The following is a 14,459-nucleotide window of genomic DNA, read 5'->3' as shown; positions in this document are numbered from 1 at the left end:
GGAGTCCTGACGGAGGAGCAGATGGCAAGGTGGGGGGTGTGGAGGGAATTGGGGGGTGGGCCAGGGGAGGTGGGGAGTGGGATGGGAGTCGGAGTGGCGCTGAGCTGGGAATTGGGAAAGTGGGATGGGGGCGGGGATAAGGATGGATCGGGGAGGGGCAGGGAAAGGGGAGAAGAGTTGCATGGAGATTACAGACCTGGGTGGACTGATAAATAGGGAGATTTGGGGATGGAGTGTAGGAACCAGAAGAGTCTGGGAGAAGGGGATAAATTTGCTGGAGAAATGGGGCATTTTATGGGAATGAAGGGAGAAATGAGGAATGGAAGTGAAGGAAAAGGTGGATTAGGAAAGGGGATGAGGCAGGCTGCAATAGGAGAATGGGAAATAGACGCAGGAAACTGGAAGACAGGATTGGGCTAGGGAAGGAAATTAACTGAATGATGACAGGGATGAGAACGATCGACTTAGCGTCAGAGTGGGAGGAAGAGAAGGGGATGGAGGTCGTTAAAGTGTTAGGAAGGGAGGCCTTTTGTTCCTGTATTTGTGTGTATTCTGTGTCTTTCTTTCAAGGCTAGAGAATAGAGAAGCTGGTGGTTATGGGATTGTGATTGTTGTGAAATGGGGAGGTGTGGGTTTTACTGTTTTGAGGGAGAAGGCGATGTGTTTGTGTTATGGAAGGGAGGCAGGGAGAGACATGGCCATAATTTGATGGTTTTGGGGAGGGAGTGAAGATTATTTCGATTTAAAGGGGGCAGGGGCAGCCATGTTTGCTGCCAAGGCACTGCAGTGTAAATAAATTCCTTTTCCTCTCCGACATCAGTATGAATCTGGAAGGGGCCAATTCAGACTGTTAGCCCCCTTTCTTTCTATTCATGAACTCTTTTCCCCTTACGTCTTGGGTCATTTTAAATTATTCATAACCGCCAAAGGAGGTAGTGATGTTTTCCATCACTACCTTTTTGATGCTTTTCTCCCTCTCTTTACCCTCTTCCTTCTGGTTGCAAACAAGGTATGCTAATGAGCTGCAGTGTAAATTTAACCCATTTAATCAATTTAAAACTAGATTTTTACTAGCTGAAGGAATCATTACTACGCTTACATATCAAACATGATCGTGAAGTCTTTTACGTATTGAAAATTCGTTTGTTTCGGAAGCCTCAGAAGCAGTCAACATGTTTTCTGCAATTCTTTAAGTAAACAAGGAAATTGCATCGGTTATTTTACTTGGGCCTGTGCTCTTGGCAAAGCGCTGTGTCCGGGTGAAAGGGGTAGGAAGCTCTGCTTGTGGTAGATTATCGGCTTGCTGTATTTTGAATGTTGAAAAATTAGAAATGTATGTATTTTTAAATAGTATTTCTGATAGCTCTTGCTTATAGGTGATGAGCGTGTTAAGTGATGAGTGTGTTAAGAATAGTATTTTCTTTTTTAAATAAACTCTCTTTTCCCCATCTCTTCTCTTTGCCTTCATGTAGCTGGCTCAATACAATCTCCAGATGCCAGTTCAGCACAGTGCAATGATCTGTGAAGTAGGCATGCAGTTCTTAGAGTCTCATTGAGATGCCAGGGTTTTTTTGTTGTTGTTTTGTTTGTTCGTTTTTTGATTGAAACTTCAGTTGACTCTCAGGAAACTACAGTAACTAATATATTCAACTGTAACTACTTGTACAATTTGAAATAATTACTATTCTAAGGTTTAAATCCTGACAAATTTACAGAACATACATTGGTGTTAAGTAGAGCCTATTTTATTTCATATTGGATTAAATGTGTGTGTGACCTTTTGTTTTTATTATAGCAGTTGGAGTAATCCAAACTTTAACCTATCACATTGATATTGAAACTGTTCTCTAATACCAAGAAGGCCTGTTAACATTGTAATATGGTGGACTCAAACCAGTTGAACTACATTTAACCTACCTAAATGGCAACATCCTCTCAGTTGTTATACAGAAGCTTAGGATATATTCTTGGTTTGTTAGAAAAATGAAATTGAATGTTGTTAAAGTGGTACTTTGTAAATCTGGCTTTTACACTAAAAGCACCCTCTCAGCTTGTAGTATTTTAATTTGATAATATTCAGCCTGAATTTGTTTGAAATTCTGTGAGGAACAGTTGCATTAAAAAAAAAATTCAGCATGCTTTTTCTGGAATTTATTTTTATGGCAATTTAAGTTTTATATCTCCTACTTGATTGACATGTTATTTGTAATTAGCTGGTAAATTGTGTGCATGAGCTATCAGTGCTGCAAATTTTTAGGAAAATAAGCAATCATTAAATAGAAAAATTTGTGTTGGAAGCTTTCATTGCTTAAAAAAAAAAAAAAGAAAAAGTTTATTTTTATGTATGCAGCATCCTTTAAAGATCAGGGTTCCTGCCCAGCTGTCATAAGTATCCTGGTTCCTTGGACAGGTATTCATATACGAAGAAGCCTACTCTTGTTAAATAACACTTATAACCAATTAATATGTCCATCAGCCCACCTGTTACCTGTGTTGGCTTTTTTTTTTCTTTTTTTCCCTAACCCTTAAATTAACAAATGCCGTCTCTTACACTGATCAGATTGAATGAGTTTTGGATAAAGGAAACTGTCTTTGAGATTGGTGATTGTTGAGTGAACTGTCAAATCTGATTCTAATGACAGCGTTTCTGGAATTTATAATAATATTCATAATCCACTAATAGCTGCTCACAGTTGTCCTCACACTGTGCTATGCTGAGTGTCTCACATGCATGATTTCCTTTTATCCTCCTAACAGTTTTATGAAGTTAGTACTTTTTTTTTTTTTTTTTTTGAGAGATGGAGTCTCACTCCTGTTGTCTAGGCTGGAGTGCAATGGTGCGATCTCGGTTCAATACAACCTCCACCTCCCAGGTTCAAGTGATTCTCGTGCCTTAGCCTCCCGAGTAGCTGGGATTACAGGCACACGCCACCATGCCCTTCTAATTTTTGTGTTTTTTTGTTTTTGTTTTTGTTTTGAGACGGAGTCTCGCTCTGTCACCCAGGCTGGAGTGCAGTGGCATGATCTTGGCTCACTGCAAGCTCCGCCTCTCGGGTTCACACCATTCTCCTGCCTCAGCCTCTGGAGCAGCTGGGACTACAGGCGCCCGCCACCACGCCCTGCTAATTTTTTGTATTTTTTAGTAGAGACAGGGTTTCACGGTGTTAGCCAGGATGGTCTCGATCTCCTGACCTCGTGATCCACCCGCCTCGGCCTCCCAAAGTCCTGGGATTACAGGCGTGAGCCACCGTGCCCGGCCAATTTTTGTATTTTTTTTAGTAGAGACAGGGTTTCACTATGTTGGCCAGGCTGGTCTCAAACTCCTGACCTCGTGATCTGCCCACCTTGGCCTCCCAAAGTGCTGGAATTACAGGCATGAGCCAACACGCCCGGCCAAGATGGAGTTTGTTTGTTTGTTCGTTTGTTTGTTTTGACACGGAGTTTCACTCTTGTTGCCCAGGTTGGAGTGTCTCAAAAAAAAAAAAAGTTATTCACATATTCACATATTACAGAAGGCTAAGAAGTTAAAAAAATAAAGTTAGCATTCTTCTCCACTGATAACCACTTGAAGTTTCTTGTATGTCCCTCTGGAAAACTTCTATGCATGTATGTGTATATTTCTCTTAAAATATTTTCAAATGGATCATACTATCTGCATTTTGCTTTTTTGTTTTTTTGTTTGTTTTTTGAGATAGTTTTGCTGTTGTTGCCCAGGCTGGAGTGCAGTGGCGCGATCGTGGCTCACTGCAGACTTCACCTCCCGGTTCAAGCGGTTCTTCTGCCTCAGTCTCCCGAGTAGCTGGGATTACAGGCATGCACCACCGTGCCGGCTAATTTTTGTATTTTTAGTAGAGACGAGGTTTCCCAAAGTGCTGGGATTACAAGCGTGAGCCACCGCACCTGGCCACTTTTTCATTTTAACAGCCTATCTGGGACATCTTTTTAAATTAGTACCTATGAATCCACGGCTGGGCGCAGTGGCTCACGCCTGTAATCCCAGCGCTTTGGGAGGGAGGCTGAGGCGGGCGGATTGCTTGAGGTCAGGCGTTTGAGACCAGTCTGGCCAACATGACGAAACACCCATCTCTACTAAAAATACAAAAATTAGCCAGGTGTGGTGGCGGCGCCTGTAATCGCAGCTACTCGGAAGGCTGAGATGGGAGAACTGCCTGAACCCCGAGGGGGAAAGCCGCAGTAAGCTGAGATTGCGCCACCGCACTCTAGCCTGAATGACAGAGCGAGATTCCGTCTCAAAAACAAAACAAGGCCAGGCATGGTGGCTCACGTCTGTAATTCCCGCACTTTGGGAGGCTGAGGCAGGAGGATCACTTGAGGTCAGGAGTTTGAGACCAGTCTGGCCAGCATGGTGAAACTCCCGTCTCTACTAAAAATACAAAAATTAGCCGGGCATGGTGGTGCGTGCCTGTAATCCCGGCTACTCCGGAGGCTGAGACAGGCCAATCGCTTGAACCCAGGAGGCGGAGGTTGCACTGAGCTGAGATTGTACCACTGCGCTCCAGTCTGGTAGGCAAAGCGAGACTCCGTCTCAAAAACAAAACAAAACAAAGAACAAAAACAATAAAAATTAGTACATATGGATCCACAGCTTTTTTTTTTAAAGAGTCTTGTAAGTATTTCATTGTTTAAAACATCGATTAACATTTAGTTTGTTAGCAGGTTTTGCTATTATAAGTAAATAATAGTTGGTCCTGAATTAAGTTCCTAATAGCCTGTTAAATGGAAGAGAGATAGTACAACTACTTTATTTTAGAAGAGAGAAAACTGAGGCCTATGGAAGTGAAGTCTGGGGCTTTTTTGACAAACCCGTTACTTGGTTCTTTACAGCACAACCTATTACTTCCTTAAAGTATTGGAGCTGCCTGGCCGGGCGCAGTGGCTCACGCCTGTAACCCCAGCACTTTGCGGGGCCAAGGCGGGTGGATCACCTGAGGTCAGGAGTTCAAGACCAACCTGGCCAACATGGTGAAACCCCGTCTCTACTAAAAATACAAAAAATTAGCCGGGCCCGGTGGTGTGCGCCTGTAATCCCAGCTACTCTTGAGGCTGAAGCAGGAGAATCGCTTGAACCCAGGAGGCAGAGGTTGCAGTGAGCTGAGGTCGCGCCATTGCACTCCAGCCTGGGCAATAAAAGCAAAACTTTGTCTCAAAAAAAAAAAAAGAAAGAAAGAATTAGAGCTGCCTATGAAAACTCAAGGTGAGGGGGCAAACTTAAGGTTAAGTATATTTAGTAGAAAGAGTTAAAGGGGAGTAAGCTGCAGTGAGGCAAGAGATCTTGTATTTTTTCATATTTTATTCACCATGTTGTGAACATATATGCATAAAATATTTTTACATGCAAAAATGAATTGTGTCCAAGTTATCTTGAGGTGTGTGTTTTTGTATGAAGTGGATTTTAGTGGACTTTTTCTTGTTTGAATAAAATTATCAATAAAATAAGATAGCGATGAAACGAAAAAAATTAGAGGTCCATCATGGTCTTAGAAAAGGACCTGGAAAAAAAATAGAGACATTGGTAAAAATTTTAAAGTGAGCTAAAAATCCCTATTTGAAAACAAGTTAAAAATCTTAGCATGGACTGTTGCTTACTTTATTTAATTTTTTTTTTCTATCAAGAAGAAAATGGGTTACTTATTCATTGGGATCTTTTAAAACAAAAAGATAGTCTTGTCTGTTGTAGATACTTCAGAAATTAAAATTGTTAAAACTTTAAAAATGCTTAGAACTTGGCATCTGTCCATAAAATCTGTTTTTCAATGCAATTCTGTTTTTAGTTTTACTTTTTTTTTAAAAGCAGTCTATTATTTTTTGAAAAAGCAACTAAGATGATTCATTTATTTGTTAATAAACATGTCCAGCATTTGAGTTTTTAAATGAATGGTGAACTTTATTTCTGCAGGCCAATCTTTTTATGAATTATATTTATAAGTTATAAATAATTATACTTATATTGTTATATTAACAAGGACAAATGTAAGAAATTGCTTATACTAACATTATCTAACCTTTTTTTAAAAAGCTTACAGTTTTGTTTTCATTTTTACTGTTGCTGTTAGTAAATATGTAATAAAGACTTTAAACACTTCTGTAGTATGTTGTACCTGCACTGTGTAGCATGAAAAGAAGGTAAAGGTATATTTTAAATTTTGTGGACTTAGAGAATGTTCAGTTTTTACCACATGGATGTGTTGTTACTCCTAAAGCACAACTTTTTTGATAAGATTTTGAATTTGAAAAAGCTCTTTGAAAAAGTATTCTTAGCTTGTTTTTTTAGATGTGGATCTTTATCGTCATTAACTGATCTACAGTGATAACTTTTCCCCCTTCTAATATTTAATTACTAGGTTCTTTTTTCCATCTACATTTAGGGCTACTTAGAGCAAGTGACTAGGAAAATGAAAATTGTTAATATTCATACTGTTTCAGTTTTAGCCATGTGTAGCATGGAAAGATAAAACATGAATAATACCTTACATTTATGTGGCATCTTCTGAGGTGTTTGGTAGAATTCCCACAGAATAACTTGGCTTTTTAAAAATGTGAAGTTAGAAAGCACAAGAATTATTATTTATTTATTTATTTTTAAATTTTTTTTTCGAGACAGAGTCTCCCTCTGTTGCCCAGGCTGGAGTGCAGGGGCGCGATCTCGGCTCACTGCAAGCTCCGCCTCCCGTGTTCGCGCCATTCTCCTGCCTCAGCCTCCCGAGTAGCTGGGACTACAGGCGCCCCCCAGCACGCCCGGCTAATTTTTTGTATTTTTAGTAGAGATGGGTTTTCACCGTGTTAGCTAGGATGGTCTCGATCTCCTGACCTCGTGATCCATCCACCTCGGCCTCCCAAAGTCCTGGGATTACAGGCGTGAGCCACTGCGCCCAGGCAAGAATTATTTAACTCAGTCTTAAGATGGGAAAATTAAGATTTCAGAGACCCCTTCAGGCCAAATAGACTGTCATGTTACGGAGAATAAAATTTTCAGATTTCCGTATAATTAATCTTTTCTCTTTTTTTGTGAGACAGGGTCTGGCTCTGTTGCCTCTGCTGGACTGAAACTCTTGGGCTCAAGCAGTCTTCATGTCTCAGCTTCTCTAGTAGCTGGGACTACAGGCAGGTGCCACTGCGCCGGGCTCTGTATGATTACTTAAAACAAATTAAGACTGTGTGTGTCCTGATTTTTCTTCATAGCTTATATTACCCACATTCTAATAGATAATTAAATATTAAGTAACAAGTATTTTTCTACATAGGTGTGCTTTTTCTTATTTTGGTGTAAGTTATATACATATTTCCTAAGATATATAGATTTATTTATTTTTTTTATTTTTAGAGACAGGGTCTTGCTCTCTTGCCCAGGCTGGAGTGTAGTGGCATGATCCTAGATCATTGCAGTCTTGAACTCCTTGGATCAAGCAGTTCTCCTAGCCTCATCCTCTGGAGTAGCTATGACTACACACATGTGCCACCCTGCCCAACTAATTTTTTTTTTTTTGAGACAGGGTCTTCCTCTACCACCTAGGCTGGAGTGCAGTGGCACAGTCATGGCTCACTGCAGCCTCAACTTCCCAGGCTCAGGTGATCCTCCCACCTCAGCCTCCTGAGTAGCTGGGACTACAGGCGTGTGCCACCACACCCAGCTAGTTTTGCTTTTTTTTTTTTTTTTTTTTTTTTTGTAGAGACAGAGTTTTGCCAAGTTGCCCAGGCTGGTCTTGAGCTCCTGGGCTCAACCAATCCTCCCACCTCGTCCTCCCAAAGTGTTGGGATTATAGGCATGAGCCACTGTGCTGGTCCCCCTAGCTATTTTTTAAAATTTTTTTGTAGAGATGGAGTCTCACTTTGTTGCCTGGCTGGCCTTGAACACTTGGCCTCAAGTGATCCTTATAGGGAGGCGTTTTAAATTTAAGAATGGGTAGCTTATTGGGATTTCATAGGTTAAAAAAATTAGTTTATCAAATTGATTTGAGATTAAGAAGATCATATGGAGATACTCCTAGTGGCATTTGGGCCATAGCCAAGACAATATTGTGTCTATTGAATCTTATGTTATCTAATTTCTCTTAGCTGTGGAGGCTTAAGAAAGCTATATGTAAAAAACAAACAAAAACTTTAAGAAATAGGCATTTTAAAGCCTTTTACGTTATGAAATGTGAAATATAAAAAAAAGCATATAAAACTTGAATGTACAGTATAAACAAATAATTAGGAAGTGAAAATACAAAAATTAGGCGTGGTGGCACACGCCTGTAATCCCAGCTACTCGGGAGGCTGAGGCAGGAGAATGACTTGAACAAGGGAGGCGTAGGTTGTAGAGAGCCAAGATTGCGCCACTGCACTCCAGCCTGAGCGACAAAGCAAGACTCTCCATCTCAAAAAAAAAAAGAAGTGAACATCGGGTAACTATCACCCAGGTAATAAGTCCTTTAAGAAAAGCTGCAGAGACAACCTCATTGGTTTAGCTGGTATTGCTTTGGTGGTAGTTGGACTTTAGGGACAAAAATGTATTGATGTCCTTGGTTTTTCTTTTTTCTTTTTTTCTTTCTTTCTTTTTTTTTTTTTTGAGAGGAGTCTCGCTGTGTTGCCCAGGCTGGAGGTCCAGTGGCGCAATCTCGGCTCACTGCAACCTCCGCGTCCCGGGTTCAAGCGATTCGCCTGCGTCAGCCTTCCGAGTAGCTCGACTACAGGTGCCCATCACCACACCCGGCTAATTTTTGTAGTTTTAGTAGAGACTGGGTTTCGCTATATTGGCCAGGCGTGAACCGCCGCGCCCGGCTGGTGGTTTTTTTTTTTTTTTTAATAATAGTAAGAACCTGCGGCCGGGCGCAGTGGCTCATGCCTGTAATCCCAGCACTTTGGGAGGCCGAGGCGGGCGGAGCACCTGAGGGGAGGAGTTGGAGACCAGCCTGGCCAACATGGCGAAACCCGTCTCTACTAAAACTACAAAAATTAGCCAGGCGTGGTGGCAGGCGCCTGTAATACCAGCTACTCAGGAGGCTGAGCCAGGAGAATCGCTTGAACCCGGGAGGCGGAGGTTGCAATGAGCCGAGATTACGTCACCTCACACGCCAGCCTGGGCGAAAGAGCGAAACTGTGTCTCAAAAAAAAAAAAAAAAAGAACCTGAAGAATTCATAAGCATGCGAGTTCAACGAATATAAAAACTGAATAACCAGTTTTTAATTGTTATTGCCAGAAGGGGTCTCTGAACAATATTTTTAAGGTAGCTTTCTAACATTTATTGTCAGTGTTTAGTGATTTGAAATCTTAGTACCTTACCGATGAATAACAAAAAATAATACTGAATCCTGTAAGAAAGTGCCATTTTATACAAAATGTTGTTTGTTTAGAGTTCATCTCTGTTGCACTTTTTGGTAAGATTCAGTGATTAGGTTTTAAATTAACATGCAAACTCTAAAATGACTTACTTAGAAAATGTCGATTTGTCTATATTGTTAATTTCTTAGCTTAACTATCTTAATTAACAAAAATGAGTTTGACACTCCTGCTTTTGCAGTATTGGAACCATTCAAAAAGTATTAACCTGAGAAGTAATCAGTGATGACAATCTATGTTTGACCCTTCATCCTTGGTACTTCTTGAGTTTTAACTTTTCTGTAATTTGGGCAAGAGAACCAAATTTCTTTTGAAGCTGGAGAAACTGCATTATGCTTTCCTGGCCTTCAAGAATATTTTCTTAGGTATTTGGAAAGGTTAAGTGTTGATTTTTGAGGATTAGGATAGCAGAAAAATTTGAATGCTTTTTTCCCACTGAGTACCTGCTGAATACGGTCTATTTGCGTACAACTCTGCCATGTGAACTTTGAGAAAGGCATTTTTATAAATTAAAGCCTTTATTTGGTTATTATAATTTTGTCACTCTAAGTGGTCTCCTTTTGTATGATCTCTGCAAGATTCAAATGCATCAGAATATAGTATTTCATATTAGATTGTGGTGAGAAACTTCTTGCTTTGTTTTATTGTATCCTTGAATTCTTTTCTGTAGTGCAATAGCATGTTATTCTTTTTTACTCCCACTGAAGGTTAAATATATTTCTTGCTAATTTTTCCCCTGCATGGGCGATAGCGATTTTAAATCTTGAACGTGTATGTTGAGTTTTCCTAGATGTGGAAGTAATCATAATTTGATATTTTTAGAAAGATAAATTAGGTAATGTGGCTTTGTGTATGCAGTAGAGTTAATATGCTTTTATTCACCTCATGGTTTCTATGTCATTACCACCTGTTGGTTTTTATTTTTTAATGGAAAACTTGAACTTCTCCAAAGTGACTAGTTTTAAAATAACATTTATGTAAGGATTGTTTATACAGAGAAATTGAAAACCAGAAGGTATAAAGACAATTAAAATTATCTAAAATTCTACTAGTTAGAAGTAACTACTATTAATATTTTGTTCTATATCCTTCCAATATTTTTTCATATGTATTTTTTTTACATAGTTGGAATTGTGCATCCATATTATTTTGTAATATGTTTTATTATTTAATATATTATGAAATAAATGTTTGTGATTTAAAAAATCAATATAGAATTTCAGTGTACAGGTGTGCTATTATCTGTTTACCATTCTGTGTTGAAGGTCTTTTAGGCAGTTTGCAATTTTGGGATATTGTAAGTTGATGGACATCCTTATACATTAAAAAAAATTATATGGCTGATTATTTCATTACAATAAATTCCTAGAAGTAGAATTACTTAAAAGATATAAACATTTTGAAAGCTTTTGATACATATTTCCAAACTGTTCTCTTGAAAGATTTTTTAAAATAATAGTTTTATTGAGATATAATTCACATACCCAAAATTTATCCATTTAAAGTATACAATGCAGTGGCTTTTAGTATGTTGACGGGGTTATATAACCATCACCACAATCAATTTTAGAACATTTCCAGAAAGGTTTGAACCAGTTTAAACCCAGCAATATTATAAAGTTTTGTTTTAAAAACAGCATTTATTCATAACATTTAAAGTAGTACAGTATACAGGAACACAACAGCTTGTGTGATATATACTTTATATGCATTTGAGAGAGATTTTAGAAAGTCCTTCATGAGAAGATGATGCTCCTACGTCCCATTTTAAGAAAACCTGACATATTAAGCTTAAGCTGATTAAACAAAATATGAGGTATATTTTTTTGAATTATAAAATTATTCTCCTGAGCCTGGGCGACAGAGCGAGACTCTGTCTCAAAAAAAAAAAAAAAAAATTCTCCTGGACAGTCAGAATGTCTTTATTGAGAGAGTATTGTGTATGGTTTAAAATTTTTTTAAAAAATTCAAATTTGATTTAGAAACACTTTATTTTAGAAAACATCTGTGGAAAGTATGTTTTACCTATACAGTTAACTGTAGCAAACTTATCACCTTATAGAAAATATGGTTTTCTTTTAAGAGAGGTTTGCTTTGTTCTAATTGACCTTCCCCCCGAAAGTTGTTCTTTTGTTATGTTCGCTTAAGCCGTTTAACAAAACATTTTTTAAAAACTGGGTGGGCTGGCTGGGCGTGGTGGCTCACACCTGTAATCCCAGCACTTTGGGAGGCCGAGGTGGGTGGATCACTTGAGGTCAGGAGTTTGAGACCAGCCTGGTCAACATGGTGAAACCCCATGTCTACTAAAAATACAAAAATTAGCCAGTGTTGTGGTGCACGCGTGTAGTCCCAGCTACTCAGGAGGCTGAGGCAGGAGAGTCGCTTGAACCCAGAAGGCAGAGGTTGCAGTGAGCTGAGATCGTGCCACTGCACTCCAGCCTGGGCAACAGAGCGAGACTCTGTCTCAAAAACAAAAACAAAAACAAAAACAAAAAACAAAACTGGGAGGGCAGTGAAGTATAGGGCAAGAGTCAAGGAGATCTGAGTTCCTATCCCCACTTCACTTTACCACTGAAGATCAGTGTTCTTATCTCTAAAAGTGCAAATGAAAATTATTCTTGGAGTTACAGGGATTCAAATTAGAAGTACTAGAGTGTGCGTAGAACTGTACCAGACACATAGTTGATAATGAATAACTTTTTTAATAGAAGAAAAATAGTGTACACAAAATGAACTAGTCTTTAGTCACATGTTTAATGGAAGAAGAACTGAACTCAATTGGCTAAACTCACTTTCATAGAAGTTAAAAGTTGAACATCAACTAATACCTGAAGAGAATCTTTGCCTAGGTTATATGAGTTTTTCTTAATTGTTGAGAGAATTCATGCTGGTTCAAGTTTGAACATGAAGTTAACTTTCCAGTCCAATTTTACTTCCACTGTTTTATTACAACTCATGATGGCTAAAGCTTCACTAAAGCTTGGTGTTCTGATTAAACAAACAGGTGATGTGAAATTTGGATATATAGTATGAAATTCTGAATTTTCTAACTTTTATTACTTATTTTGAAAACTACATGTTGAATACTAAAATACTACATGTTGAACCTAAAATACTAAAGCGATAAACAAAAAAAACAAAACCCAAACTGGTCTTTATAGAAAAGATAAACTTAGTAAATTATTATTTAGATATAATAAATTGCTTAGTGCCTTAAAAACTACATATCATCTTTGGCATACATTCTCTTTTGCCTTTTTTGGGGGAATGGAGGATACAAGCTAAAAGAAAGTAAATTTGAATGCTTGCAAAATTTTAAGAACCAATCTCAAACCATTTTACCATAATTTAAAAGTTTGTCCAGGAAATAGGTAAGAAAATATGTGGATGAACTTGTTAGTTTACTAGATTTCATAGTGAATGGAACAAGATGACTGATGAAAGTTGTTTGTAGTAATTTTCATTGTGAGCAACTACCCTTGCTGTAAAGGATTGGAAAATAATGTAATTTCCTTCAAGTGGTAATACCATGTCTGTTGTTGCTGGGTGTGGTCAGCAACAAAGCGAAGACAGTTGAGGTTAAACTAGATAGATAAGGGAAACAGGGTGTTTTACTAGTAAGCTTTGTATTGGTAAAAGGCAGTTCAATAGTAATGTGGTTTAGTCAGGAAAAAAATATGAACTACAAAGCCACCTAAAATGTTGTATAACTTAATGGAATCATAGTCAAGTGAAAACTGTATGATTGAATTTAGTGACAGGATTTATGGTTAAATGAAACACTTTTTTGTTGTTGTTGTTTTCTTTTTTGTATTTTGTTAACTAAGTTCTACTTCACGCAGGTTACTTCCTAATTCAGGATATTTTAATGTCTTTAATCATCATCCTTCTCTAAACATCTTTCTCTAAATTTTTAGTGGAAAATTTAAAGTGAACACATTTCAGAAAATATTTGAGGTGACAACGCTAAAGTTAAACAGATTATGGAGTAGCACAGTTATTCTTTACAGATAATTTGCTGCCTGGTGCAGTGGCTCACACCTGTAATCCCAACACTTTGGGAGGCCAAGGCGAGTGGATCACCTGAGGTCAGGAGTTCGAGACCGGCCTGACTAACATGGTGTAACCCCCTTTAGCTGGGTGTGATGGTGCATGCCTGTAATCCCAGCTACTTGGGAAGCTGAGGCAGGAGAATCACTTGAACCCTGGAGGCAGAGGTTGCAGTGAGCCGAGATTGTGCCAGGGCACTCCAACCTGGGCAACAAGAGCAAATCTCTGTCTCAAAAAAAAAAGATATTTTGCTTTATTAATAGTTTAAACTCAGAAAAGTTTAAAAAAAGTTAAGAGAAAACATACAACTTCTCTAACACACCTTGATTCCTTACTAGGATTTTGTAAAGAGAATCGTGGCCATGCTGATTTTACTCCCTAAAATCCTATCTATGTCACTAACTGTATTGGTTGTGAATTTCATATAATTGTTTGATATTACAAATAATGGTCATCTTAAATAATGTTAAGGTGATAGATGAGATTTAAAGTTAGTTTTTTATTTATTTATTTTTTTGAGACAGAGTCTCACTCTGTCACCCAGGCTGGAGTGCAGTGGCACAATCTCAGCTCACCGCAACCTCCACCTCCCGGGTTCAAGTGATTCTCCTGCCTCAGCCTCCCTAGTAGCTGGGACCACAGGCATGCACCACCACACCCAACTAATTTTTGTATTTTTGGTAGAGACAAGGTTTCACCATGTTGGCCAGGCTTGTCTTGAACTGCTGACCTCAAGTGATCTGCCTGCCTCGGCCTCCCAAAGTGCTGGGATTATAGGCATGAGCCACCACACCTGGCCAAAAGTTAGTATTTTAACCACATATATATATATATTCTTTTCAGAATGAAAACTCAAGCCCTACACTTATGTATTGATAATAGGAGGAATCACAGCTCATTTTCCCATTTTTCGTGGTCATTTTATATATGTGGATCACCTGATCCAACCTTTCTTATGATGTTAAATGAAAACCCAAAGATACTGTCTGTCCTCGGAATTTATGCAGCTAAGTTAGGGGTAGAAGCAGAACTAAAATTCAAGTCTTATGACTCTAAGACCAATGTTAGA

At 38.6% G+C, this 14,459-nt stretch overlaps 1 protein-coding gene across 2 annotated transcripts in view, besides 2 other annotated features; it reads left to right on the top strand.

The window, feature by feature from the left end:
- NSD3 (nuclear receptor binding SET domain protein 3) overlaps positions 1 to 14,459 on the top strand; it is a 112,568-nt gene that overhangs the window by 653 nt on the left and 97,456 nt on the right. The gene's annotated exons all lie outside the window — the stretch shown is intronic.
- Positions 291 to 825: an enhancer, noted in NCBI's record as "OCT4 hESC enhancer chr8:38238312-38238846 (GRCh37/hg19 assembly coordinates)". NCBI's record gives its function as "activates a minimal SCP1, AML or CMV promoter by ChIP-STARR-seq in primed H9 embryonic stem cells {active_cell/tissue: H9 hESC(primed)}" and the evidence as "EXISTENCE:reporter gene assay evidence [ECO:0000049][PMID:30033119]".
- Positions 3,106 to 3,607: an enhancer, noted in NCBI's record as "OCT4 hESC enhancer chr8:38235530-38236031 (GRCh37/hg19 assembly coordinates)". NCBI's record gives its function as "activates a minimal SCP1, AML or CMV promoter by ChIP-STARR-seq in primed H9 embryonic stem cells {active_cell/tissue: H9 hESC(primed)}" and the evidence as "EXISTENCE:reporter gene assay evidence [ECO:0000049][PMID:30033119]".

Source organism: Homo sapiens, chromosome 8, assembly GCF_000001405.40.
Source record: "Homo sapiens chromosome 8, GRCh38.p14 Primary Assembly".
In the NCBI taxonomy this organism is placed as follows: domain Eukaryota; kingdom Metazoa; phylum Chordata; class Mammalia; order Primates; family Hominidae; genus Homo; species Homo sapiens.
Note: the sequence above shows the minus strand (reverse complement) of the source record. Positions and strands in the feature narration are given on the sequence as shown.